The sequence below is a fragment of the Homo sapiens genome, chromosome 5 (genome assembly GCF_000001405.40).
Source record: "Homo sapiens chromosome 5, GRCh38.p14 Primary Assembly".
NCBI classification, from domain to species: domain Eukaryota; kingdom Metazoa; phylum Chordata; class Mammalia; order Primates; family Hominidae; genus Homo; species Homo sapiens.
In genome coordinates, this window is record NC_000005.10 from 14,200,912 (window position 1) to 14,228,774 (window position 27,863).

Here is a 27,863-nt window from a genome sequence, read left to right on the forward strand (position 1 = left end):
TTTAAATGATTTAGAAAAATCATTTTTCTTTAAAAAATAACAGTACATAAAAAGAAAACATTCTCGGCTGGGCGCGGTGGCTCACGCCTGTAACCCAGCACTTTGGGAGGCTGAGACAGGCAGTTCACCTGAGGTCAGGAGTTTGAGACCAGCCTGACCAACATGGAGAAACTCCGTCTCTACTAAAAACACAAAAATTTTAGCCGGGCGTTGTGCCACGTTCCTGTAATCCCAGCTACTCGGGAGGCTGAGGCAGGAGAATCGCTTGAACCCGGGAGGCAGAGGTTGCAGTGAGCCGAGATCGTGTCATTGCACTCCAGCCTGGGCAACAAGAGCGAAACTCCATCTCAAAAAATAAAAAATAAATAAAAAATAAAACGTTCTCATCTATTTTTTAGAGTAATTTAAGAAGATTCTGCTTCTTGTTTTACCTTATATATAAAGTACGACATGAGTTAAAATCACACCTTGGTTATAGCAGCTTTTTAAAAAAAATTAAAACACACTTTTAAGTAGGAATTCCAACACTAGTTAATTACAGATAAATACATAGCATTTTTAGTGAAATGCTTTGCTAAGGTCATATCCTGTGGTTTTAAGAGCATTTGGCAGCATCGATTGTTAACTTTGAGGATTACGTGTAGTTATTCTGATAACAGAAACTTTCCTGGTGGGTAGGAGGCAAGCTGTGTTCTAAGATGATCCTGTATCTGGATCAAAGGAGAGATTGTAAAAATTACTTCACTTAGTCAGATTTACTTGGAAATATTAATGAATTTGTTCTGCTCATTTGTTAACTCTGAATAAATTGTTCATCTTTTTAAAACTAAGTTGTCTGTGAGTCACAGGCCTACATTTATATAAAAGCAAAAATACAGAAATGATTAAAAATCTGGGCCCCAAGAAATAGGTGGACCTGAATGGCAGTCATGTTTACTTGGCTTTGACAGTTTCAAGAAAAAAGTTGAAAATTGCGTGTTCTCACTCATAGGTGGGAATTGAACAATGAGAACACATGGACACAGAAAGGGGAACATCACACACCGGGGCCTGTTGTGGGGTGGGGGGAGGGGGGAGGGATAGCATTAGGAGATATACCTAATGTAAATGACGAATTAATGGGCGCAGCACACCAACATGGCACATGTATACATATGTAACAAACCTGCACGTTGTGCACATGTACCCTAAAACTTAAGGTATAATTTAAAAAAAAAAAAGAAAAAAGGTGAAAAGTTCTGTTATGAACTTGTGAAAACAGCATATAGCATATAGATAACCCAGCATTGCTAGGCAGTTCTAAGGACCCGTACCAGGCTTGTCCAACCCATGGACCAACACAAATTCATAAACTTTCTTAAAACATTTTGAATATTTTTGTGATTTTTTTTTTTTTTTTTTTTTTTTTTTTTTTTTTTTGCTCATCAGCTATCGTTAGTATTGGTGTATTTTATGTGTGGCCCAAGACAATTCCTCTTCTTCCAGTGTGGCCCCAGGGAAGCCAAAAGATTGGACACTCCTGACCTACTATGAGCAAGTTGAAGTGATTTTGAATACTGTAGCTCATGTTGTGATTACCAGTATCTCCATTTGATATGCTTTGACTGTGTCCAAACCCAAATCTCATCTTTAATTGTAGCTCTCATAATTCCCACATGTTGTGAGAGGGACTTGGTGGAAGATAATTGAATCTTCAGGGTGGTTTACCCCATACTGTTCTCGTGGTTGTGAATAAGTGTCATGAGATCTGATGATTTTATAAGGAGTTTCCCCTTTTGCTTGGCTCTCATTATCTCGTCTGCCGCCAAGACGTCTGTGACTGACCCTTTCCTGTACTCTGTACAATGGGGCCTCACTCTTCCGGCAGTGAGACATGCCTTTCACCTTCTGCCATAACTGTGAGGCCTCTCCAGCTACGTGGAGCTGTGAGTCCATTAAACCTCTTTTTCTTTATAAATTACCCAGTCTCGTGTATGTCTTTATCAGCCATGTGAAAAGGCCTAATACACCATTCTGGTCATTTATAATTTTTATTTATGCTTTTATTTATAATTTTTAAGATCCACTCAGTCAACCTACAGTCATGAGAAATGATAAGCTATTATCGTTTGAGCCATGATAAGTTTTGTGGTGGTTCGTTTTGTAGTAATTAGATACCTGATACCTCAGGTTATAGTCGTAACTTTTTAAAAAATGGAGTAAACAAGTTTGATTATTCTGTTTGTGTATATTGGGCACTGAATAGTTATTTCCCAAACTGTAATCTGTTCTTAAAAAATAATGGCTTACTGCATTAAGGATTTTTCCAAAGAATGTCCTATAATAGGCAATTTGAAGAGAGAGATTCCAGAAGGCGTTGAGTCCTGGCAGTGTTCCTGTGGAATAAGTCTGCAGCATCCCAAGGTGATTGCTTTTTGGTATCTTAAAAGTAAAACAGCTTCATTCCTTGTGTCCAGAAACATTTCCCCGCAAGGACTACAAAAGCCTTACAAAACATCATCATCATTCTCACAGTATTTTTAGAATCAAGTAGGAAGGTAATTTTCTTTTTTTACAGACCATGTTTCCTGGTCAGATATTTCTGGTTTTGTACTTAATAATGAAATAAGCATATTAAGACAGAGATCTTATGTTCACCTGTGAGTTTTATGGAAATGACCTTTTTATATTGTTAGAATAAAAAGTAACAAATTCTAAGAAACAGTCTTTTAAAAAATGTATGTAGTAATTGTCCGGTGTGGCGTTCAGTGCCCTCAAGCATGGGAATGGAGCCCTTGACGGGCATCTGTGACTGACCCTTTCCTGTACTCTGTACAAGGGGGCCTCGCTCCCCTGGCAGTCACCTGCCCCTTGCTAGGTGCTGAAGCTGTACAAAGCCTAGTCCTTTTCTCAGCAGACCAGGGAAAGGGGTGGGGGTGGGCTGATGGCTTATTAGAGAAACACAGCAGGAATAGCGTGTAAAATTGAAGAAGGAAAGTGAGCCCTTGTTAATTGTGCACTCAAACCTGGTAGCTTTTTCCTTTTTTTCTCTTATCGTTACGTTGCACCTCAGAAGATGCCTGGTACTTTTAAGTAAAGCAACAAATGTAGGAAGAATTGAACTGCTCTTTTCAGGATCCTGATGGATGTCTCAAATGTTTCTAGACCTTGATAAAAGTACTTGAGCCTGTCAATAGCCTAGACGTTTTAAAAGCTGCTTATGCTTTTTATTTCTTGGGAAATGCTTGTTTTGAGTTGTGTGTCTTGTTTTAAGCCAAACAAGTGTCATCTGTGGTTGTGCTGCTAGTACATTTCTGCTTGACCTCACAATAAAATACTGATTTTGAAAGCACCAGCCTGTCTTTTTACCGCAGAGGTAATTTGAGAGAGGAGTGGAGGGTGCCCGGGGAAGGAGTTCTGCACTGCCAGCCTCATGGATGCCAGAGAGAAAGGGGAGTTCTTTTCCTTGGTCGATGGTCACAGAGGAGGAAGAGTGTGAACTTACTCCTTTTTTGTTCTGCAGGTTGTCTTGGTCTGTCTTTATGATCGTGGGCAGCTTAGGGACAAGCAAGGTCCTGGCACCCATGGTTGAGTGAGTGGACCACATACTAACATTGTATGGTCAGTGTTGGTCTCTAGGTCTTACGGGAATGTGTACTTAAGTATGGTGGAACAATAGCTAATTAAGTAGAGATTTCAAGAAACAAAGGATTTGAGGAAGATATTGCCCAAAATAAGACTATTGTATATTATCCTATGAAGTCCTGAACCCTGTCTCTCATTAAAATGCTATTCAGATTTTGGGGAACAGACATGAAGTAAAAGATACAGTGTAACATGGAGAGTTAACCTAAGGATATAGGAGCTTAGAGCAGTGACCCTGACCTGGGCAAGTGCCTTCCCCTCTTTGACTCTGTTTCCTCACTGTAAAATGCAGATAACAGTAGTACTCATTCACTGGGCTGTTCGGATGATTCAGTGATTTAATATTTGTAAAGAGCCTAGAACAGGGCCTGCCACCATGTATACACTTTAGTAATAATATTAGTCAGGGGTGTTTCTAGCCGTGTAGAAGTCTGGGATGCGTGGTGTCACCCCTTCTTCAGGGTTCCTCTTCCAAGCTCTTTTTCCTGCTCTCTGTTTCCACCGTGGCTGCAGTAGAGACAGAGGCCAACATTTGTGGTGCAAAGGGAAGTGCCCACGGATTCAGGAGGGCACAGGATTTTATTGTCTTAAATCATTAACTATTGCCCGAAAAATCCACAGAACATCGTTGTGTAACTGCAGCTGCAGGAAGTGTCTGCTTTCTGGCCTCAGCGCCAGGGAGGTGGAGTTACTTAGCACATCCACCGCATGCTTCCTGGGCTGTTTCTTTTGTGGATTGCAAATTCTTTGGAAAATAGAACATGTGATCTAGAGAAAAGAAGAAAATAAGAACAAAGGATAAAATAATTGTCCCCGTAATGTAGCAGCTAACAGTTTCATTCAGAAGTACCTGAAACAGTGAACAGTAGTTCCTCAGCATTTGAAGTAATGTTACAAGTCAATACACTGTTCATTACGTTAGATTCAAAATGAAGGTCTATCTTGTATCTGAAGTTCCTTGGCCAGGGAGAGGATAAAAACCCCTGGAAAAAATAGGAATTATGCAGCTGTAGTTACAATTAAATTTAATTCATGAAAACTACATATCATACTTCATAATAACATTAATTTTTATTATCTGGCTACTGTGTTATTAACACAAAATATAAGAATTATTAGTGTTTCAGAAGATGCCAGTTGGTTTCTTACTAATGAAAACATTATACGCATACAAATACTTTTATACAAATGTTTTTCAATTTATTTATTTATTTAGAGACAGAGTCTCATGCTGTCACCCGGGCTGGAGTGCAGTGGCACGCTCTCTGCTCACTACAACTTCTGCCTCCTATGTTTAAGCGATTCTCGTGCCTCAGCCTCCCGAATAGCTGGAATTACAGGCCCGTGCCACCACACCCGGCTAATTTTTGTATTTTAGTAGAGAAGGGGTTTCACCATGTTGGCCAGGCTGGTCTCAAACTTCTGACCTCTCAGGTGATCTGCCTGCCTCAGTCTCCTAAAGCGTTGGGATTACAGGTATGAGCCACTGTGCCCGGCCAAATATTTTTCATTTTAAAATGTACTTTTTATTTATTTTTATTTTTGAGATGGTTTCTCACTCTGTCACCCAGACTGGAGTGCAGTGGCGCAATCTCAGCTCACTGCAACCTCTTCCTCCCGGCACAAGTGATCCTTCCACCTCAGCCTCCTGTGTATCTGGGACCATGGCATCGCACCACCATACATGGCTAATTTTTTGTATTTGTGGTAGAGATGGGTCTCACTGTGTTGCCCTGGCTGGTCTTGAACTACTGGTCTCAAGCAGTCCACTTGCCTAGGCCTCCCAAAATGTTGGGATTATAGGCATGAGCCACTGCACCTGGTCTAAAATGTACTTTTTTAGAAAAAGAAACGTCTTTTTAAAAAACTAAGCATACTGCTTAATTCCTCTAGATTCTTGCTCTTGTCTTGAGGACTTTGCATCCTCTGAACTCAACTTGTGGTCAGATTCTCCGGATGTTTCTTATCCTCGAAAGTTTAACTCAACCTCTTTCTCCCAGTAAGCCTCTGAGGTCCCAGCAGCCTCTTTCTCAGGTCCCGCTGCCCTTCTGTTCTGGCATGTGCCTAACCTGACAGTTGCTGCCTTGCTCCTGAAATTTGTCATTCCATTTCGATGGTGCCTGTGTGTTACCTGTGTATGACTGAAGTACATATTCGTTATCTGCGTGAGACAGTACAGATTGGTGTATAGTATTTTACAGCCACTTCATTATATGCTATTTCCGTGTACTGGCAAAAAAGAGAATAAAACTTCCTAGGATATAAGTACCTACTGCTGTTTTGGTGCATGTCCAGTTAGGCTTTTCTCTTTTTATTTGTTTGTGTACCTGTAACTCCATATAAGCATATATAATCATGTTACATATGTTTAAAAGGCGTCATTTTGCAATGCAGTTTTATCACTAGTTTTTTCTCTGTCAAGGGATGTATAAAAATGGATCACAAATCTAAATTTAAAACTATAAAACTTAGGAGAGAATCTTTGTGATCTTGGATTAAACAAAGATTTGTTAGATAAGATACAGAAAGTATGAACAACATAAGAAAAAAGTCTATAGTTTAAACTTTTTTATATTCAGTTTTGCTTTTCAAAATATACCTTTAAGGAAATGGTCTGGGTAAGGTGGCTCACACCTGTAATCCCAGCACTTTGAGAGGCTGAGGTGGGAGGTTGGCTTGAGGCTAGGAGTTCAGGACCAGCCTGGGCAACATAGCAAGATGGTCTCTACACACACACACACACACACACACACACAGCCAGGTAGCATAGCAAGACTGTCTCTCACACACACACACACACACACACACACACACACACACACACACAGAGCCAGGTAGCATAGCAAGACTGTCTACACACACACACACACACACACACACACACACACACACACACGCAGCCAGGTAGCATAGCAAGACTGTCTCTCTACACACACACACACACACACACACACACACAGCCAGGTAGCATAGCAAGACTGTCTCTCTACACACACACACACACACACACACACACACACACGGAGCCAGGTGTGGTGGCATGCACCTGTAGTCCTAGCTGCTTGGTAGGCTCAAGTGGGAGGATTGCTTCAGCCCAGCAGTTCAAGGTTACAGTGAGCTGTGATCGTGCCACTGTACTCAACTCCACCCTGGGCAATAGAGCAAGACCTTGTCTCAGAGAGAGAGAGAGAGAGAGTGAAAATACAAGCCACAGACCAAGACAAAATATTTGTAAATCATATATCCAATAAAGGATTTTTAATCCAGAATATATGCAGAACTTTTATAACACAATAAAAAGAACAAAACCAAATTAAAAATTGAGCACAAGATTTAAATAGACACTCAACAAAGAAGGGCAAATAAACACATCAGAAGATGTTCAATATCATTAGTCACTAGGAAAATACAAATTTAAATCACAATGAAATACCACTACTCACTTAGAACAGCTATAATAAAAAAGATTGACATTGCCAAGTGTTGATGAGGGTGTGGAGAAACCAAAACCCTCATAAATTGGGAATATAAGGTTGTACAGTCAGTTTGGAAAACAGTTTGCAGTTTCTTAAAAGTTTAAACATAGGCTTATCATTTGAACCAGCAGTTTCACTCCTGTGTATCTCCTTCTAAATAAATGAAAACATGTCTGCACAAAGACTTTTCTACGAATGTACAGCCGTATTACTCATAATAGCCAAAAATGAAATGATCTAAATGTCCACCAACTGGAATGGATAAACAGGATGTGGTATATCATCATCATATCCAGACGGTTAAATACTCCTCAGCAATAAGGAACAAATTTCTGACACATGCCACAACCTGAGTGAACCTCACTGACTGCATGCTAAGTGAAAGAAGCCAGACACAAAATACGACATATTGCATGATGCCATTTCTATGAAATTTCCAGAAAAAGCCAAATTAGGCAAAAAAGCATTTCAGTGGTTGCCTTGGGGTATGGGCCGGTGAGAGGATTGACTGCAAAGAGTCACAAGGAAACATTTCAGAGCGAAGAAAGTGTTAAACCAAACTAAAGCCTGAAGATGTCTCTGTGCTTTGAGTCCTTATGTAAGCAACTGTAATCTAACTTAGTATGTAAACTAACAGAAAGTCTAACTGAAGAGTATACTTTTGTAACAAATAGCTGACTCTCAGCCAATCACAGCAGCTGGGCTTCAGTTAGTCACAAGTGGACAGTTCATCAGACCTTGTTCAAATAAGGCAAAGGCTGAGCTTTAACCAGTTGAGCTGTTTCTGTACCTCACTTCTATTTTCTGTTCATAAGTGTTACCTACCTGAAGTGGAACTCTGAACCCTCTGCTGGTTCTAAGGGTTGCCTCATTTTCGAATCATCCTATTCTCAGTTAAACTCTGTTATAAAGTTTGTTTGTAAAACTGGATTGTGATGTTGTAAAACTGGATTGTGATGCTGGTTGTGCAATTATAAATTTATTACAGTCCGTGTAAAATGGGTGAATATTTTTAAAATAGTGCACCAGAATTTATTCGACAGGTCGCAGTTTGCCATTTTCTGTTTCATCTAGTCCTAAGAGGTAGATTACATTCCTGTTTTCCAGAAGAGGAAACTGAGGGCTAGTGCCGATAACTTACAGGTCTCAGAGCCAGTAGGTCCCATTCTCATGTTATGACCATAGAGCCCTATCTGCTAAAATGAGTAAATTTTATGGTATGTAAATTATACCTTAAAATACCTCATGACGTTGTAAAGACCATATTGTGAACATCCTTTATGTCAGGAACTATATTTGCCATCATTTCTTAAAATTCATATTGGAACGTTTTAGACATACATAGAAGTAGAAAGAATGGGTGATGCCACCCGTGAGCTCTTCGGAAGTCACCATCTGTGGCCTGTCACGTGTCATGTCTCTACTCCCTCAATTACTTTGAGGCAAGTCCCAGTTACTAATATATTCTTTCTCCTGTAAATAGTTTAGTGTAATGTCATTATTTTTAAAATGATTGCTTACTCTTCCATGCTTGTATCGTACTGGGTTAAACCAGTGGTTGATAGTGGGTCACTTGAGTTGACTCTTCTGTATGGCCTTGGGGGTGCTGCCACAGACACCCTGTTAGCTGGATCTCTCGAGCAGCGGTTGTTAGTTGAGCTCCGTGGTCTAGAGGAACTCTGTGTTGTTTGAGGTTGTGCAGCACACTTTTTTTCTTTCATTAAATGCTTTAAAATGTACTCTAAGAAAGAAAAAACATTCAACAAAATTGACAGTATTGGCCCTCAAGGCAGTATTTTTAAATTGTCAGGAGATTTTTTATCAGACTCAGATCTTCTGGTGAGAGGAATTTAGGAGGGCTTCTGCACAGAGGGACAGAGGCAGTGGCAGAGCATTGCAGCCCCCCAGAATGGGGTCCCCAGGGTGTTGGCTGCTCCCCCTCTCCCTGTGTGCTGAGCTCCCTGTGTGCGGGCCTAGCATCCAGCTTGCAGCGTGGACCAAGTGGGGTCCTGGTGCCGTGGGAGCCCTGATTGCTGGAGGAGCCCAGCTGGGGCCACAACTAGGGCAGCGAGTGCAGGGTATGGCGCCCCAGGTGGGGTCAGGGGGAGTCAGATGGAGGAGCGGTCGGCCCCTTTGGTTGAGTTTTGAAGGAATACAAGTAGATGGTAGATGAACGGGGAAGTTCTGTGTAGAAGGTTGGAAGTGTGAAATGGCATGAAATTAAACCACTGGTTACTTTTGAGGACAGCTTCCTTGTTGACAGATGTAGAAACAGAGTCTAGGGAAGCTTTGGCTTGTCTGAGGCCACCAAGGTAATTGTCCAGCGACCCCAGCCAAGAGTAGGGGTGTCCAGCTTTCCCCAGGCTCCGCACCCTCTGCTGTGATCCCCATGGGGACCTATTTGCAGCCAGCCATTTTGTGGCCTGCGTTTAGCTTCTTGCTGTCCAGGTGCCCTTTAACTTATGGGAGCATCTGTCAGAGCCCATTTAGAGGTCTCTCTTTTCCAGATCTGTGGAGCAGTTGAGAGGAGGTTATTTTGCAGCATTTGTTTCTTCTAAATCTCCTTTCAAACCACTTTTGAAAGTGTTTTTTTGTTGTTGTTGTTGTTGTCGTGGTTTTATGATTGTTTTGGGGAAAAACCATGAAAGAAAAAGGAAATAAATTTTTATTTCAACATGAATCATAGATATCACCCTTATTTTTCCATCAGTTATTGTAGCGGTATGTTTTTAAAGTGCAGCTTACTCTATTCAGCCTTATTGTCCAGTAGTTCTACGTACAGTTAAAATTAAAATTTGAATTCAGCAGAAATGAAGTGGATGTCAGAGGATGACACATATTCAAAAAGTCCATCCGTCCTTATCTTGTCCTACCCTCCACTCCCTTCCTCCTTTCACCCTTCTCCTCTCTGTCCTCTTTCTCCCTTCCCTTCTTTCCATCTTCCCCACTCCTGCCCTTGTAAGTTTGCCATGAGCCCCTAGATAACTTAGGTCTATTTCCTTGACATTTTTGGAAATTGCTGAGGTTTACTGGAGACCACTTGAAGCCGTGCCAACTGCAAATAATAATCATAATAAAAGTCACATTATTTTTAGACCTTTTGACTTTACCTTCTTCTGACTTTCCAATTAGAACAGTAAGTTATAGTTAGATCAACGATTCATATATTTAACAACTGCCAAAATCATTTCCTCAAAAAGAGGAGAATCAGAGAGTTGGGTTTCTAGTATCTCAGAAAGAATCATCATCTCAAAGATTTGATGTAAAAAGCTTAGCTGTTAACATATAATAATTTGGGCTGGCAAAATGCCTAATATGAATGAGTAATTTAGACCTGTTTATAAGCAAACCTGGCATAAAGCTCATATTTTTAAATGGCTTGCTAACTTTAAATGGACTGACATAAGCAGTCATTACTATAAATTTGCCCCTGCTGTGAATTAACCTATAATAAAACATACAATAATTTAAAATATGAAACAATAAAATATTTTGCCATGTGTGCTTGAAGGTATATATTAAAACAAGAATCTACCAGTTGAAGTGTATATATAGAGCTTTCCTGAGCACACTCAGTTGTTTTTTTTTTTTTTTTTTGTAAATTTAAGATCTGTTCTTTAGAAATTAATAAGAACAGTCTTTTTGTCACATATGTTTTCTCTTGGCTAGATCTGCATACAGAGAGCAACAGTTTGTTCTTAAGAAACAGAATGTGGCAATCTTTTTAGTATTCTGATCAAATAGTACTATGAAGAGAAAATTATCAATGAAATAAAAAGTATAAAGAGAAATATAGTAGATTAAAGTAAATTAGTGGGGACAGATGCCATGGCTCACATCTGTAATCCCATCAACTTTGAGAGGCCAAAGTAGAAGGATCACTTGAGCCCTGGAGTTCAAGACCAGCCTAGGCAACACAGTGGTGAGACCCCATCTCTCCAAAAAAAAAAACCAAAAAAACAAAAACAAACAAACAAAAAAACCAGGCATGGTGGCATGCACCTGTGGTCCCAGCTACTTGGGAGGCTGAGGTTGGAGGATCACTTGAGCTTGGGAGTTTGAGGCTACAGTTAACTATGATCCTGTCACTGCACTGCAGCCTGGGCGACAGAGTGAGACATTGTCTTAAAAAGAAAAAAAAAGGCAAATTAATGGTTTAATGGTTAAAATGTGTTATTTATAGTTTGTAGAGTACTCAGGAAGGATAGAATTATAAACAGGTGGCATGGACAGCTTCCATCCCTATAAGGACCAACAGGCGGGTTTCTGAGGACCAGAAAAATTTCCAGCTCGCCCAAGTATGTTGATTTGGTGCCTGGGCTGGTGGCTCCCTCTGATGTCACACCCCAGTGCAGCTCCCCAGGGCTCCTCTGGAACCTTCGGGGAACTCCAGCCAACTTCTGTGAACCTTGTTTCCACCCCAACTCTCCCTCCAGACTCACATACCTGCTCAAACGTGCAGATGCTGCTTTCATTGAACCTCAGATGTCTCAGGCATGTAGGGTGTTTTAAATTTCAGACACCTAAAATAAAGTGTCTGAAGTTTAAATGTTAACCTGTGCCAGTAAAAATAGCAGAAGTGCCTGAGGAAGGCCTGTGGTGGGTGGGTAAGAATTGTTGGCATTATTGAAGAAAAAGGAAAGAGCTATGTCCCCCCAATCCCCAAAATGGAGAACAAAGCAAATTACCCTATCCTGACCAGTGTACATCAGGTCTACTGATTGATTATAGCCAGGAAGTTAGGGTTTGGCACTTTATTGCTTAATTTTTTAATTTACACATTGAATTTGCTTTGCATCAACTTTTGAGAAAGTGGTTCTCATGACTTATATTTGTATAGTACTCATACTTGTTCATTTATTTTCTAGCAATCAGGAGACCAAATAGGGTAGCCTGTACTTTCTTCATGTTTGCCTGATGAAAACACTGTACGGTTAGTTAAGACTCATGGCCGGATCTGATTTGTAATTTCTTGTTTCTGACCAAGAAGAGTTCAGTTGCTGTTGAACAACACGGACAAAGTACACTAGGGGAATTCAGAGCAGGTGTGAGGTTCTTCCTGCTCCTAGAGGTTTGTGTGCTCTTTACAAACAACCTTGCAAACACTGAGGTTGGGAGGGAAACAAGTCTGCTTTGCACTTAGAGCGCAGAAGGATTTCTTTGGTTGGAATGAAGGAGAAGGAAAGTACAATTTTTTTCCTGCTTCTCCTCCCTCCTCTTTTCTTTTCACTCTTCTTCCCCTCTTCTCTCTCAAAAGTTATTTCTAAATTATCAGGTTAATATATGTAAACTAATATTGGTATATATAAATGACACTATACTATATTAATACATAAATATATAAAATTATTTATAATATATGCACTATATATATATATTAACTTGATAATTAACTCTAGCTGCTAGCAGAGGCGAGCAGGCTACTTTCACATGCCTGACTCACCAGTTAGATACTAAGCTGATGCACAAGTTAGCTGTGCTTGTTTCTAACCCATTTATGCCAAGGACACCTTTACTATCAACATGTAATTTAATTAAATATTTTCTGAGTATTTTCAGATATGAGTGGGAAAAGTATTTCTATAAAGGCTAAATTGATTTGGGATGACTTGTTAAAGATGGTATGTTTAAAATAAGCTGTCACATTAAGCACAGGAGAGAACTGTAAAGTCAGGGAAAATTTTGTAAACATCTATGAGCATTCTGACCTTAGTTTCTTTCAGAGTGTGTCTGTATTCTAACTCCAGTTTAATAAGGATGAATGCCAGAATTGGAGTATTAGGGTTTATTCAAGTAAGACAATGAAGAGCTTCTGTCCAGGGATTCATCCTTCATTCACAAAAAGACCATGGTACTGGCCCAGGGCAGGAGACTGACAGTGAGGGACGGGGCTGTTCAAGTGGCACTCAGCAATGTGCCTGTATTGAGCGGGAGGATGAAAGAAAACCATATTTAATGTGTGCTTTCTAATGACTCTCTGCTTTAACTGACTTAGTTAAAAATTATCTTACCTGACTACAAGTGATCCCCTTGAGAAAGAGAGCTTCATGCAGTCAGGCAAGCCGCAGTCAGGGCTGTCACTGCTTGAGTTTACTGTCATGTGCTCCTGCTGGAAATCAATCAGATTCCTTATTCTTTAAATTACACACAGGTGGAAACCTAGAGAAGGGCTGGGTTGACTGGCCATCTTGAAGGCTGAAATTGGTGGCATCAGTTGCTCTCTGCTACCCTGACAGATCCATAAGCCGTGGTGTTCATGGTTAGAGACAGAGCCCTTCAGGCCCCAAGGAAGGGTATGCCATGGGTCACCTAGGGAGGGCTGCTGGAGAATTCCTCTCTTCACAGGCAGAGAACCGAGGCTGTTTGTCCAAGACTCACAGATGTTTGACCACACACTGAAAAACTCAGACTCCAGTATTGAGAACTCAGTAGGTGTTTCCTTACCACCTGTTTTCTGAAAGGATGCAGGGTCATCTCAGTTTGGAAATACAGGTTAGTCTGACAAACACACAGTTTTTTGCAAAGGTTAGGGGAAAAAAATCTGTTATTTAAAATCTACCGGATGTTATTAGCATCTACCGTAGCTCACCACAAAGTTTGAAAGAACATAGCAGAATGGGTGCAGACCTATTATGATACAAATCAGAAATCAATTTCATTGTTACTTCAGTTTACCTAATTATTTTTTAATGGATGAATGAAACCGAGTGTTATATTTCACTTTGATGATACAGGACCTCATTGATTTGTCTGTGACATCAGTCAGTGTACGTGTGTAGACAAGTGTGTGTTCTATTTATTTCTGACAAAGGTGAAATAAACACCTTAGGTAATGAAACATCCTACCTTAAGTCATTTGAACTCATTGATTTCAAATCAGTAGTTATGATGTTATTTTTTCCTTTTACAGTTTAAAAAAATTGTGTTGAATGAAGTGCCTTTAAAAACTTGACTTGGAGGAAGAAAGTAAAATGATGAGAAATTTATTTTGTATGAAAAGTAAATCTTTTCTGTATTTGGTGTTTACCATGTGTAATTTAAAAAGGAGGCTAGACTGTCTAGTTCAATAATAAGAATGGAGAAATGAATTTAGACCAAAAAAAGCAGCCTAGATTTCCTCTACTTCTGTACTGATAAAGATGATTTGGAGCTTATCTTCTTCACAACTGTTTTAGGTGAAAGAAAAAGAAAACCATAACAAACCTAACTAAAAGCATGCATCGTTTTTTATATGATGCTAATTAAGAGATGGTTGAATTGTGGCAGTTGCTTCTACTACATTTCTTTCACAAACGTTCTTTTGTAGTGACTTTGTTATTCGTGTCTGCCAATGCACACTGTTAGTGTTTATTGGTGTATAATGACAAACCTTGATTGTGATCTGGAAACCTATCACAGTTTTATTATGATTTTACATCTTATTAGTGAATATGCTAGTGATAAAAACTTGATTTTTTTCCTTCAGCTTTCTTTATTCAGACCAACCTTCTTTTATATATGGCCTTGAGAACTTCTGCAAACTTTGGTTTTTCATCCATAAAATGGCTTTAGACTAAATGATTCCTTAAGTTTCTTTAGTTCCAAGATTTGATGATTCCACAAAGTTTGAGATCTTTTAGCGCCAAGATCTAATGATTCCACGAAATGTGAGATCTTTTAGCTCCAAGATCCAGTGATTCCATGAAGTGTGAGATCTTGCTTGTATGTACAAATCTATTTGCAATTTCTCCAATGGCGTGGGTTAAGTTCTACTACTCCAAAGTGCCTAAAAATCGAGAAACCATAAAACTAGTTTTTGTTCTTCTAAATAGACAACTGAATTTTGACAATAGAAGCTAGTTTTGAGAGTCGGTGACTTATTTATGTTGATTTGGTTATTTTAAAAATTTTCTTTAGCGATTAAGAACTCGTGTTCTGGAATCAAATTTGAATTCCATCCCCTCCACTTAATCAAGCCGTTTGATCTTAGCCATGCTGCTTGCCTTCTCTGTGCGTTAGTTTCCTTGTCTGTAAATTAGAGGTAATCATGGTATCTACTTCTTAGCGTTCTTGTGAGGATTCAGTGAGATAATCCATGCAAAGCTTGGCTCACAGCAAGAGCTTAACAAGGGTTGACTCCTCAGATTGTGATGGGGACTCATCCTTTTCATGATAGTAGCAAGCCTGCACAGACGTCTTTCCTTCCATAAGTTCAAGAGTTCTTTGAGTCTGCCCATAGCACTAGCTTTTTGATCTGGAAATGCTGCAGATTCTGTTTTCTCTTAGGTAGTTTATGAATGGGTTTGGCTGTATTAGAGTTGAATTTGTCTCAGAGCCAGCCATAGAATTCACACTTGTCCAACAATTGTTGTTAGTTTTGCCTGCCCATTTATGTATACACCTATTTGAAAAAAGATGTGGTGTTTCAAACAACAAGGTGGTTTTTCTCTTCTTGTTTGTATTTGCTTCACCTTCTTGGATTGTTGGAGTTGGTGTTGCATGTCCAATCATTCCAAAAGAGCTGAATGGTCATTGAGTTGATTGTGTCTTAGAAATAACTTGTGGTCTGTTCTCATAATACTGACATCAAGGTGTCGTATTTCAGTGCATACCATAAACATCTGTACAGTGGATTGGAGTCCTACCTCTTGGTTTTTAAAGACTCTGTGTATCGTATTATTGCCAATGTCATTCCATTTGGCATGTGCCAGGATGGTAGCAGTATTATAAAAGCATGTTTATAGTTTAACATGATTCAGTGATTCCAGGGAAACTGCCTCCAAGGGTCCTGAACCTGGTCAGTACAGTTGTTTTTACTGTTTTCCATGACTGGCCTATTTGCCTTGGTGCATCAAATCCTTGTAATAGCTTCATATGGTAGATAGCCAGACCAAGGTCTCATCGTTAGGAAGGGGAGCTGACATTGGAATCTAGCAGCCTGGCCAGAGCCAGGCTCTTAACTGCTATGCCACCTCTTAGAAATCTCCTACAGGGCAAGGAGGCGTGCTGGGAACAGCCCAGCTTAAGACGGCAGGGCCAAGTGGTCTGGTATGTGAGCAGAGGCCCAGATCATGCATTCCTCCTCCAGCACGATGCCCCATGCGTCACCGAGTTCTCTGATCACCGGTCTTTTACATACTTCATTCCTCCCATTGTTTACTAAAGGATGTTTGTTACTAAGCATACCTGGAGCCAGGAATGAACAAAACAACAGAACCTACAGTGTCCTGAGAGCCACTGTACAGAATGTGGTCATTATACGCAGGCCATTCAGGTTGACTCTCTGAGGTGTCCTAACTCTGTCCTGTTAAACCATTACCAGGAGAGTTCACAGAAAGGAAATGCTATCCCTACACCTGCAGCTTCTTTCTGGGCCCCTTTCTTGCCCTCAGTCCTGGCACTAGTCCCCAGGAGAGTGAGAGTTGTTGCATTGAAATGACCATAAAGCTTTTCTTCTCCCTCGTGCTGTCCCCCACGAACCCAGGTATGAAGTATACAGAAGGTGGGGAATTAGGATTCTGGGGCTTTCCCATGCCAGCCACGACAGCTGCAGCCTGCTCAGTCACAGGCACACTCAGTTATTAAAATTAGATTTCTGATTTATAGGAAGATTGTCTTGATCAATGATGACAAGGGCATACCTGACTAAATTAATGAGAAAATGGCTAGGGTAAGTCCTGGGCAGCTATGTGAATGTGAGTATCATTCTAGAAGTGTGTGTGGCACTTGCTGCAGCCCTGTGTGGCTGTCCTGGCACTTTGTTCCCGGTGTCAGGGCCTCTGGTGTGTGATTGTCGCAGCACGTGTGGGGCAGTGTGTGTGGGCATTCCCAGCCTGACACATGGCTTGCATAAAGATTGCATAAGGTTATAGGAAAGTGTCTCTGTCTTTTACACCGTATTGCCAGTACTAATCAGTCCAAAGTTTGAGAAAATAGTAAAAGAATAACATACATGGTTGAAATCAAGCATTTAAAAACATTCAGTAACTTTTTGAAAGAAGACTCTGCTTTTCTGATTAAATAAATAAAAGTCTTATTAATGATTTTTAGTATAACTATAGTTCATGTGTGTGTTGGGGGGAGAGTCTCGTTTACCTTCCCAAAACAGGTTGGATTTTAAAATGCAACTTTTGCAAAGTAAGTAAGTTTCAGCACAAGGGCATGTTTTCATCTCTGCACTTTGTCATCTGTGTCAGTAAGCAGTTAAGTGGCACAGACCTGCCTGGACCCCCTTTGGCAGGTTGTTAGGATGAATTAGTGAAGTCGTCGGTTTAAAGAGCTTAGGGTGGTGCCTGGACAGAGTGAGTGTCTAATGATTGCTAAAGTAATTTTCTTAGTTTTACTATGGAATCATAATAACCCACATAGAAGACTGATATTAAGAGCACAGAAGAAATAGTCCCAATGTTTATGTCATTTAATTTGAAAAATTTCTTAACTTTTCCAACAATTAGCATCTAAGGACCTGAGCTGAGTCTCTAAGAGTCAACTCTGCTGTGAAATTGATGTTGAAATACAAACAAAACAAAAAAACCTCAAAACCCAACAACATAATAAGAGTAGTTTGTAACTGAAAAGAAAGTCTCAGGCAAGTCTTAAGGAGCAGGTGGGCCCTGGGCGAGGCTGCGCAGTGGGGCTGGAGCAGGGGCCCCTCCCCACAGAGCTGTGGCTTCTGTGGTTCCTGTGCACCTCACAAGAAGCCCAGTGGGGCAGGTGAGGGTCGCACAGCCTGTGCAGCCAGGGCTATACCCGGCTGCTGTGGGGGTTCCGCGGCCACTGCCCTCCTGCATTAGATGGGGCACCAATTCCTGGTTGAAACATGGCAGATGACAATTTCCAAAGGCTGTGAACTTTCCAATAGCAGTAAACTCCTCTGAAGAGGACTGGGATGTGGAAGTGGGATCCCTGTGCCGCTGGCAGTGCCGGCAGCAACCCTTCTCCGGCTCTTACTGAGCTAGGGAAGCTGTTGCTCTGCGCCTTCTTGTTTAGTTTACAAGATTTAGGACAAGTGCCTCGGTTTCTGATGCTGTCAGAGACTTGGTCAAGGTGAAATCTGGTAGCTCAGTTTATAGAACTATGACAAGGCTAGTGTGGTGGTGTGACATTGGTGAATGTTTGTGAGATGGAAAAGTACTACTAGACTTTAGCAGAGCCAGTGGCATAAGAAACTTAAGTTTAAGGCCAAGTGCTTTGTGTGTGTATGTGAAGTGGAGAGGGAGGAGGATGATTTGCTTTCTTTTTCTATAATTTTTTTTTTTTGTTTACTCTGCAAAAGCCTGACCAGATCATTGTTTTCCTTACCCCCCGCCCACAGTGGAGTAGGAGAACTCCATTTAGATCCTTGCCCTGTACTTCTGCCTCTGCAAACCTTGCTTTCCTTGTTGAAAATACTCAGAGAGTCTTTGTGTCCTATTTCAGTGCTGAAAAAAGATCTGCTGCTTTCTAAAGTGTGCCTGTCTTACCAACCCGTGTGGGAATGCTGCCCGCGTGTTTGGATGGCTCTATCAAAGCCTTAGGCTGTTTCTGGCCGGAGTCATAGGGGACCCTTCAGGTTTGTGGATTCCCAGTTTTAGTACAGTGTCTTTACCACCAATCCCGTATTAATAGGACAGTACTGCGGGTGGCAACCTGGGCCGGGTCTTCTGCTGTGATGAGGAATCACCTGCATTAGTGTCACCTGGAATACCTGTGAAAACGCAGAATCCTCAGCACCAGCTGAGGCATCAGAATCTTTGGGATAGGGTTCAGGGTTCACTTTTACTCCAGGATCTTTACCTGAGGACTAACATTAAAGAACCATTTCTGGAGGAGGTAAAATAGATCAGTATTTTTCAAGCAGCATGTGGCGTCCAGCAGTTTTTTTTTTTTAAACTAAAAGATGCCCTAAAATAGTACAGAAATATCAGAGTTCATTGCACATATCAAGAGTGATTTTGTGAGTCTCTAAAGTCAGTATATATAACACAAGTGTTCATGTACAGGCATTTTTTTTTTTTTTTGCACTTTGTTCTATTGTACAGATACTGCGGGGTTTTTTTTTCTTCTTCCTCTTCTTCTTCTTTTTTTTTTTTTTTAAAAACAAATTGAAGGTTTCTGGCAACCCTGTGTTGAGTAAGTGTATCCATGACATTTTTCCAACAGCATGTCCTTGCTTTGTATCTCTGTATCAAATTTTGGTAATTCTCACAGTATTTCAAACATTTTCATTGTTACATGTTATGGTGATCTCTGGTCAGTGATCTTTGATGTTTTTAGCGTAATTGTTTTGCAGCAGTATGGACCACACCTGTATATGGTGGCAAACTTAATCAGTAAGTGTGTGTGTTCTGACTGCTCCATTGACCAGCTGTTACCCCGCCTCTCTCCCTCTCCTCAGGCCTCCTATTTTTGAGACACAACGATATTGAAATTAGGCCAGTTAATAAATCCAACTATGGCCTCTAAGTGTTCAAGTGAAAGTAACGTTTGCACATCTCTCATGTTAAATCAAAAGCTAGAAATGATTAAACCTAGTGAAGAAGGCATGTTGAAAGCTGAGACAGGCCAAAAGCTAGGCCTCTTGTGCCAAACAGCCAAGTTGTGAATGTGAAGGAAATTAAAAGTGCTACTCCAGTGAACACACAAATGATAAGAAATCAAAACAGCCTATTGCTGACATGCAGAAAGTTTTAGTGGTCTGGATAGAAGATCTAGCCAGCCACAGCATTCCCTTTAGACAAAGCCTAATCCAGAACAAGGCCTCAGCAAATTCTGATAGAGGTGAGGAAGCTGCAGAAGAAAAGTTGGAAGCTAGCAGAGGTTAAATCCTGAGATTGAAGGAAGGAAGCCATCTCCATAACAAAAGTGCAGGATGAAGCAGCAACTGCTGATGTGGAAGCTGCAGCAAGTTCTCCAGAAGACCTTCCTAAGATCAGATTTTCAGTGTAGGCAAAACAGCCTTCTATTGGAAGAAGATGCCATCTAGGACTTTCACAGCTAGAGAGGAGAAATCAACATCTGGTTTTAAAACTTCAGAGGACAGGCGACTTTCTTGTTGGGGGCTAATGCAGCTGGGGACTTTGTTGAAGCCAATGCTCATTGACCATTCTGAAATTGCTAGATACCTTAAGAATTATGCTGAATCTACTCTGCCTATGTTCTGTACATGGAACAACAAAGCCTGGATGATAGCCCATCTGTTGACAGCATGGTTTACTGTTTTAAGCCCTCTCTTGAGACCTATTGCTCAGGAAAAAAGATTTTTTTTTCCCAAAATACTGATGCTCATTGACAATACACCTAGTCACCCAAGAGCTCTTGTGTAGATGTATAAGAAGATTAATGTTGGTTTCATGCCGGCTAACACAACATCCGTACTGCAGCCCATGGATCAAAAACTAATTTTGACTTCCAAGTCTTATCATTTACAAAATACATTTTGTAAGGCTGTAGCTGCCATAGATAGTGATTCCTCTGGTAGATCTGGACACAGTACACTGGAAACCTTCTGGAAAGGTCACCATTCTAGATGTCATGAGGAACATTTGTGATTCATGGGAGGAGGTCAAAATAGCATAAACAGGAGTTCTGAAGAAGGTGATTCCAGTCTCGTGGATGACTTCGAAGGGTTCAGCACTTCAGTGGAAGAAGTAACTACAAATATGGTGGAAACGGCAAGAGAACTAGAGCTACAAGTGGAGCCTGAAGATGGGACTGAATTACTGCAGTCTCGTGATTAAACTCCTCAGGGATGAAGCGTTGCTTCTCATGAATGAGCAAAGAAAGTGGTTTTTTGAGATGGAATCTACACTTGGTGAAGATGCTGTGAACTTGGTTGAAGTGACAACAAAGGATTTCCAATGTGCCACAAACTTAGTTGATAAAGCAGCAGCAGGGGTTGAGAAGCTTGACTCTAATTTCGAAAGAAGTTCTGCTGTGGATAAAATGCTGTCAAACAGCATCACATGCTACAGAGAAGTTTTTCATCACAGGAAGAGTCGATAGATGCAGCTGCATCACTGTCTTATTTTAAGAAATTGCCGCAGCCACCCCAGCCTTCAAGCAGCCACCACCCTGAGCAGTCAGCAGCCATCCACATCGCGGCAAGACCCTCCACCAGCAAAAAGATTACGACTCTCTGAAGGCTCAGATGATGTTAGCACTTTTTCTTTTCTTTTTTTTTTTTTTAGCAATAAAGTATTTTTAAATTAAGGTGTGTTCATTTTTAAAGACAAATACTACCACACATTTAATAAACTACAGTATAGGATAAATGTACCATGTAACGTATAGTGTAAACATAATTTTTATATGCACTAGGAAACCAAGAAAGTTGTGTGACTCGCTTTATTGCAGTTGTCTGGAACCAAACCCACAAGCATATTGAGTTGTATTGTAAAAGGTATTTCTTAATGTGGGTTAAGGTCACAAAAGTTTGAAACCCAGTAGGTTAGATGATGTCTTAGTTCCCTTTCATCGCAACCTCATTTTGTATTGTTTTGAATCCTTAGCTCAGACCCCCAGCCAGTAAATCATCTGCTCTGAGACAAACACTAAGAATAAAAGAAGCTGGGAAGCTTTTAACCTGACCTAAGCATTGTCTTGGAAACAGTAAAATGCAGCCCCTTCCAGACCTCTTTTCTCAGTATCTTTGGGGCGGGGCTTTGGAACCTGCATTTTGAGTAACTGTTCCACAGGATTCTGATGCAGGTGTTTATGGGACCACCTTTTAAGAAATACATGTGAAGTTTTAAACCTTGTAACAATTCTCTGAGGGGCACCTCCTCTCCCTCCCACTTTTCCCTGTTTCCAGGTAAGAATCCTGAAGCCCCAGTTGATCAGACTTGGTGACTTCTAACATCGCAGAGATGTTAAGGCGCGGGCTTGGTAGGGCAGCACGAGGCTGCCGTTCCTCTTGCCCTTCCTACTTGGAGAGAATCAGATGGCGTGCAGTGTGGACATGTAAGTTCCTGATTGAGGGCGTCTCCCGGATCAAAAATAAATAGGATTGTTGAAAATGATAGTGTTGGAATCCTGGGCATGAAGCCTTTTGTCTCTGGGATAGCCTTTGAGACCTCCTCCTTCCATGAGTGCAGCTGACACAGAGGCAGGTAAGAGGACAGGTAGCCGTGTCTGCTGCTTATGAGTTGTCCCAGCTCTGCCCCAGCTTTGGAATCTTGGGCAGTGGCAGAGAGTTATGTGACAGCGTCTATCCCTGAGAGTTCTTCCAGATTTTAAATTCTATGATTCTATCTTTTGGAAAAATAGTATTTCCTGTTTCTTACCTTGACAGAGATACTGAATGGGTCGACAAAAATGTATGCACGTCTTTTGAGTTCCCCCAGAAAAACGATGTAAACAGAATCATTCGTTGGCACCCTGCAGTTCAGTTCAGATTTTGTGTGGGACACAGCAGATCTCAGCGTGCACTTTGAGAGCTCCTCCAGGAGCAGGCTCTCCTTCCCCATAGGAGGCTGGTGTAAGTTGCATCACAGCCATGTCCTCTGTGTCCTATTCACCAAGGCAAGCATTGGGAACAGGGCGGTGGAGCAACTAGCCTAGGTGACCCTGCTTGGCTTCAAGTTAATCTTATTACGTAAAGAAACAGAGAAGGATTTACTTTCAAAACCCCTTCTGATGGTGTGTAGGTGGGAAGCCACATCCAGTGAGATTTGCGAGAACAAGAGGAAATGGCCAAGTTTCCGGGAAGCAGGGCTGCGGTGTGCAGCTGTGCATTCTGTGGCCCTAAACAGGCACTTTGTTTTTCATTTGAAGGTCATCATCTCCCTTTGGCACATGTGCTTCCTCTCTTTGTAAATGTGTAATATTTTAGGCTCAAATTCCTATCGAATTTTAGTCTTAATCTAAGTCGGATTATAGAGGTACATATTGTCTTACTGTTACATTTTACTGATATTCAGTGTTTGATATCCCCAAAGTCTTGACTTGGATTCACAAGTGATTACATTTGTTATGCTTGTCTTGATATCCAGGAAGTACATAGTTAGAGACAGAACCCACATTTGGCCTGAAAATAGTATTAATAAAAGTAAATGTTTTTCAAGCAGAGATTGCAGCCATAGTTTTTGATATATGCTACCAAATCATGTTTTATTTTGAGAATTTTATGTTTAATTTTATTTAATGTTACAGTGTTTATCCATTTTTCATTTCTTGATTCTTTTAATGGAAGAACACATTATTATTATATTATTATTATTTTGTTTGTTTTCAGAAAGTATGTGAAGCGAGGACCCTACCTCATCTGCAGGTTAATCTTATACATACTGTTTAAGTAGAAATTCCTGCATTTGTCTTTTAAAAATAATTTTTAATAATTTTAATTAAATTCTAAAATAGTTTACAATATAAGTTATAAGCTGTTTTCAAATTTAGGTTACTCTTGGAGTAAGGAAGAACTCTTAGCTGAGAAGATGTAGTTAAGTCTGAGGTTCTCGGTGAGCACAGAATTAAGTGAAGAAAGAATATACTAAAAGATTCACTGAAGGTGACATAGTCTGTAATATTAGCACCATCTTAGACACTTACTTTGTATATATTTTAAAGCATGGAGACTAGCTTGGGAAGGCTGGATGGTTGTTTGCTTTCATGAATGAGTTACGAGGGATAGTCCTAAGTTGCTTGCAGGCATCCAAAACAAATGTTAGTAAATAAAGCTTTACAGAAGAGGCAAAGTGGAAGGACTCAGTGGCTAAAATATAGTTCAGTTGCCAGAAATGATTGTCGTTAGTTGTTTTTGGAGGACTTAACCCTAATGGATCTAGGCATGGAAGTTGAATTATAGACATGAGAGAATAACGAAGAACTGAGAAACAGGACATACCACCAATTTTTAAATGAAAGGGCAAAAAGTAGGATACCAGAATGCATAGGTTAAGATATGTGACATTATGTTAAATACGCAATAGGTGTTTTTAGTATCACATGTAAAAATTAAAGGCTGTTTGGTCTTTGAATACTTCACCTCCCTGAGCCTTCGTTCCTTGTTCCTGAGAATGAAAGGGGTCGCACTACCTCATGTCTGATGTAGAACTCCTGAGCAGTTTCTGTTATTTTGGGAAGCCTGATGGAGATGGTGTGCTCCTTGTGACAGGACCCTACAGCCCTAGAGCATAGCCTTCCCTCAAGTTTATCTGAATCGTAGAGAATCAGTGTAGAGTTATTGGCTGTAACACGCTGATCAGAAACATTAATTGTCTGTTTTATGGATTGGGGTGAGGTGAGAGGTGCAGACAGGAGGGAGGAGATTTGGTATACTTCTGAGAAAAAAAGTAAAAAGCAGGTGGAGTTAAATCTGTGGAACCCGAAAATAATCTAGGTGCTTATGTTATTTTTGCCTAACAAATTACCACAAACATAGCAGCTTGAAACACTCATTTCTTACTCCACCGTTTCTGTAGGTCAGGTGTCTGGGTAGTTGGATTCTCTGTTCAGGGTCTCACAAGGCCATTGGGACTGCATTTCCATCTGAAGCTTGGGGTCCTGTTCAGGTCCATTCAGGGTGTTGGCAGAATCCACTTCACTGTGGTTGTAGGACTGAGGTCCCAGGGTTCTTGCTGGCTGTTGGCAGGGGTCACTCTTTCCTGGAGGCCACTCTCAGGTCCTTGCCACACGGCCTGCTGCACCCTATGGCAGTTTGCTCTTCTGAGGCCAGAAGGTCATCTCTCTGACACTGCACCTGCTTTTAAAGGCTTCCCTTGATGAGTCAGGCCCACCAGGGAAGTCTCCCTTTTGATGAACACAGAGTCAGCTCATTAGTAACCTAATCACAGGCATGCTATCCCATCATATTCACTGCTCCCACCCCCCCCCCCACCTCCAAGCCCAAAAGGATGATACAAGGGGCATAACAACGGGGGTGGGCAGATGTCCTAGGGCTATCTAAGAATTCTGCCTGCCACTGTGTTAGATACTTGCAGGTTGAACTAATGAATGAAAGCAAGGGAGGAAGGAAAGAAAGGGAAATAAATTAAAAGTCAGCTTTGAGTTCCGCCGTGGCAGGGCTGATGCTTCCTGCTCCTTTCCTTCCTGCTTCCTGTGCATTTGACTGAGTGAGGGTGGGAGGTTGGAGGGACCATAAGTGACTTCAGGGAGGCACCTGGTTAATGCCGGAGCTCACACAGGAGAGGCAAGGAGGTGGGCTGAGCATACACAGTGCAGATGAGATGGGCTCCTCCTGATGGGTGGGTCTTCATGGGACCAGCATGGAAGATTCCAGTCCTCCCACTTAGGTTATTTGATGATGATGATGATGTTGATGTTCCCAACTGCCTGTCTGATTGGTGTCACCAGGTTAGAAGGAGGGAACTTCAAGTCCTTTTTTCTGTAGAACCCCACAGCCTTGCAAGCCCTGCTAGCGCAGCTGTGTTTTTAGAAGACCTTGTGGAGGTTGAAAACCAGGGTGTTGCCAGTTTCATGCAGCTTTCTGGTTGTGAACAAGACTTACCCTGAGAGTGGAGTGGAGCGTGGACGACAAACAGAATAATTTTACTTACGGAGCCTCAAGTTTTAGTAAACCAGGAATCTGAACATTCTTTTTGAAACTAAGGGTAGCTAGATAGAAGGGTTTTTATAAAAGTAGTTTTCTTTTGCACAATATTGTTTTATTCCAAATTATGCATTTATAAGAGGCTGTAAGACATGGAATTTCTAATAATCACAACGTTATAGTTTAACATTGTCCCTGAAGCTTGGTGAAGCATTACGTCTTCACTTATGTGACTAACCTGTTTAGTCAATTGCCTTGCTAACCCAGCACCCTGAAAGGCTCCACCCTGAAGTGGAGGTGCTGGGTAGAGTGTTTCCATATCTTCCCAGGGTTCGGAGACGTGGAGGGCACAAGTGGCCGATGGCCGGGAAGTCAGAAGAAGGGGAGGAAAGTGGTTTCTGCAGCTCTCCTCCTCCCTGGTTTCTGCAGCTCTCCTCCCTGGCTTTTGCATTGCCCTGTGCTTAAAGTAGGAGTCCAGGAGGGAGGAACACAATCTGAAGACAAGCGTCCTCCAAACAGGGAAAAACATCATAGGAAAGCTTTTCATAAACTCACAACTGCTGGGACATGGAGAGTTGAGGCACATGAGACAGCTTTGGGGAAAACATGCGGAAATAGGAAACGCTGTGTTATCTTAACAACTCAGTTTGTCAGCCAGGTTTGTCTTGTTCCGCACCCGCAGTCCTTGAGGTATTTCAAGCATTTGGTCATTCTACCCTTGATGGCCTTCAGGAAGTGCACAGATGCCAGCCGTTGTATCACAAATGCTAAGGGACCTCACTCCAAGGCCACCACTTGGAAGGTTAAAATGAGGATATTTTCTATCAGTCATAGCAGGAAGAGAAAGTGGAAAAACTCGACGTTTGTGATAAAGGACAGGGACCTCCTTTTGTGCGTGGGAAATTGAATCCTTGGGTAGCTTGTTGGTTACAGTGTAACTCTAGACTTCTGATGGACCACCTCATTTGTGGTTGTCATACTGACGATCAGTTTTACTAAGTGGCATACTCCAGTTTTTTATTTAATGCAGTCTGCTGGGGAGTACTTTCTTAGTTATCTATTGTGTTCTCAGAACTTTGTTCCTCTAAGATTTGTAGGACATGGCAAATAAAAGATACCACCCTTTGAGGAATTTGGTTAGGAAGGAAGACGTGAGTTTAGGAGACACATGTAGAGCCCCAGAGTGTTTTTCACTAAGTACAAGTAGGCAGATTATGTTGTATTAGATATGATGCAATTGCATCGGGAGGGTTTAAGTAATCTGATACGGACTCTTAACTCTTAGGTTGTTTACTAATTTAGATATAAAATTTAGGGAAACAACTTTAGCATTGTTCTTTAGTCTCAATGGAAAGGTTATGGTATAAGAATGTTAGCTTTTCAGTGTAATGAAAAAGTCTCTTATGAGTAAAATTAGAATCTAGTTTTGCTAATATCATACTTGTTGTATATTTGATATTCACAGTGAGGACAGCTCATCATTAATGCTTAGCCAAGTATTCCATTAATAGATGCCTATGAGCATTTGTATCTGAGCTTTTGGGGGGATTCAGAGGGAGGGTGTGGGGGCCTGTGTGGAGAGGAGGCCAGGGAGCTGGGCCTGTTCAGGGTTTCTCATGTCCGATTTCCTAGTAGAGGAAACTGTACCTCCATCTCCAATAAAGGAAAAAAGAAAAACAGGTTTGTTTTTATTACTGCCTGGTTAGGCTTGGGGGAAATGATATTTGTGTATTTTAATGCAGTGTTCCACACCTGGAGCTCCAATTCTGATGTGTTTTATGGGGCACAGAATGGACAGAAATCAATTCCTGGTACCTGTGACAAAGAAAAAACCATCCAGAATTGGAGACTGTTCCCTGCCGGGGGAACAGCCGCAAACATGTGAGCCTGTGGTTGACAAAAGTACGTCATGCATTTCAGAGTGCGTATTAGGAATCAGAGGACAAATGGCTTGAGAATGTCACACAGAAAGTGCATAGCATAACTGCAGCAGCACATGACTGAATTTCCTGGGCGCAAAAGCTGTTGAGGACTGAAAGTCACTCAGTAGCCCATCTCGTGTTTTGGATGCAATTCTTTGAACTTTTAGAGTAGCAGATTCCATCAGGGAGGCCACATGTGGATTTAAGCAGATAATTTGTATAGGCACAAATCATATCATTTTGACTAAGTTTTTTGGAATGAAATTGATATCTGCTTTATCACCACTTGTACTTATTGGACTATTTTGGCTTTTTAGAACCTTACTTGTTAGAAAAAAAGGCTTTCTGTTATTAAGGTTGTTTGAATAGGCTGAA

The 27,863-nt window shown here is 41.1% G+C and overlaps 1 protein-coding gene across 10 annotated transcripts in view, besides 7 other annotated features; it reads left to right on the top strand.

The window, feature by feature from the left end:
• Window positions 1-27,863, top strand: part of TRIO (trio Rho guanine nucleotide exchange factor) — a 366,863-nt gene that overhangs the window by 57,570 nt on the left and 281,430 nt on the right. Inside the window, exon 2 of one of the 10 annotated variants that reach the window (XM_047417679.1) lies at window positions 21,871-22,019. The exons of 8 other annotated variants lie outside the window; for them this stretch is intronic. In XM_047417679.1, coding sequence (XP_047273635.1) covers window positions 21,926-22,019 — 94 coding nt within the window. In that variant the 5' untranslated portion in view covers window positions 21,871-21,925. Of the gene's footprint in view, window positions 1-1,785; window positions 22,020-27,863 lie in introns of those variants that run through there. One more of the 10 variants, XM_011514107.3, reaches the window with a different exon arrangement.
• Window positions 4,060-4,119: an enhancer, noted in NCBI's record as "active region_22389". NCBI's record gives its function as "activates an Ori minimal core promoter by ATAC-STARR-seq in GM12878 lymphoblastoid cells {active_cell/tissue: GM12878}" and the evidence as "EXISTENCE:reporter gene assay evidence [ECO:0000049][PMID:35858748]".
• Window positions 4,150-4,249: an enhancer, noted in NCBI's record as "active region_22390". NCBI's record gives its function as "activates an Ori minimal core promoter by ATAC-STARR-seq in GM12878 lymphoblastoid cells {active_cell/tissue: GM12878}" and the evidence as "EXISTENCE:reporter gene assay evidence [ECO:0000049][PMID:35858748]".
• Window positions 7,413-7,562: an enhancer, noted in NCBI's record as "active region_22391". NCBI's record gives its function as "activates an Ori minimal core promoter by ATAC-STARR-seq in GM12878 lymphoblastoid cells {active_cell/tissue: GM12878}" and the evidence as "EXISTENCE:reporter gene assay evidence [ECO:0000049][PMID:35858748]".
• Window positions 9,113-9,192: an enhancer, noted in NCBI's record as "active region_22392". NCBI's record gives its function as "activates an Ori minimal core promoter by ATAC-STARR-seq in GM12878 lymphoblastoid cells {active_cell/tissue: GM12878}" and the evidence as "EXISTENCE:reporter gene assay evidence [ECO:0000049][PMID:35858748]".
• Window positions 11,270-11,319: an enhancer, noted in NCBI's record as "active region_22393". NCBI's record gives its function as "activates an Ori minimal core promoter by ATAC-STARR-seq in GM12878 lymphoblastoid cells {active_cell/tissue: GM12878}" and the evidence as "EXISTENCE:reporter gene assay evidence [ECO:0000049][PMID:35858748]".
• Window positions 11,400-11,459: an enhancer, noted in NCBI's record as "active region_22394". NCBI's record gives its function as "activates an Ori minimal core promoter by ATAC-STARR-seq in GM12878 lymphoblastoid cells {active_cell/tissue: GM12878}" and the evidence as "EXISTENCE:reporter gene assay evidence [ECO:0000049][PMID:35858748]".
• Window positions 19,603-19,662: an enhancer, noted in NCBI's record as "active region_22395". NCBI's record gives its function as "activates an Ori minimal core promoter by ATAC-STARR-seq in GM12878 lymphoblastoid cells {active_cell/tissue: GM12878}" and the evidence as "EXISTENCE:reporter gene assay evidence [ECO:0000049][PMID:35858748]".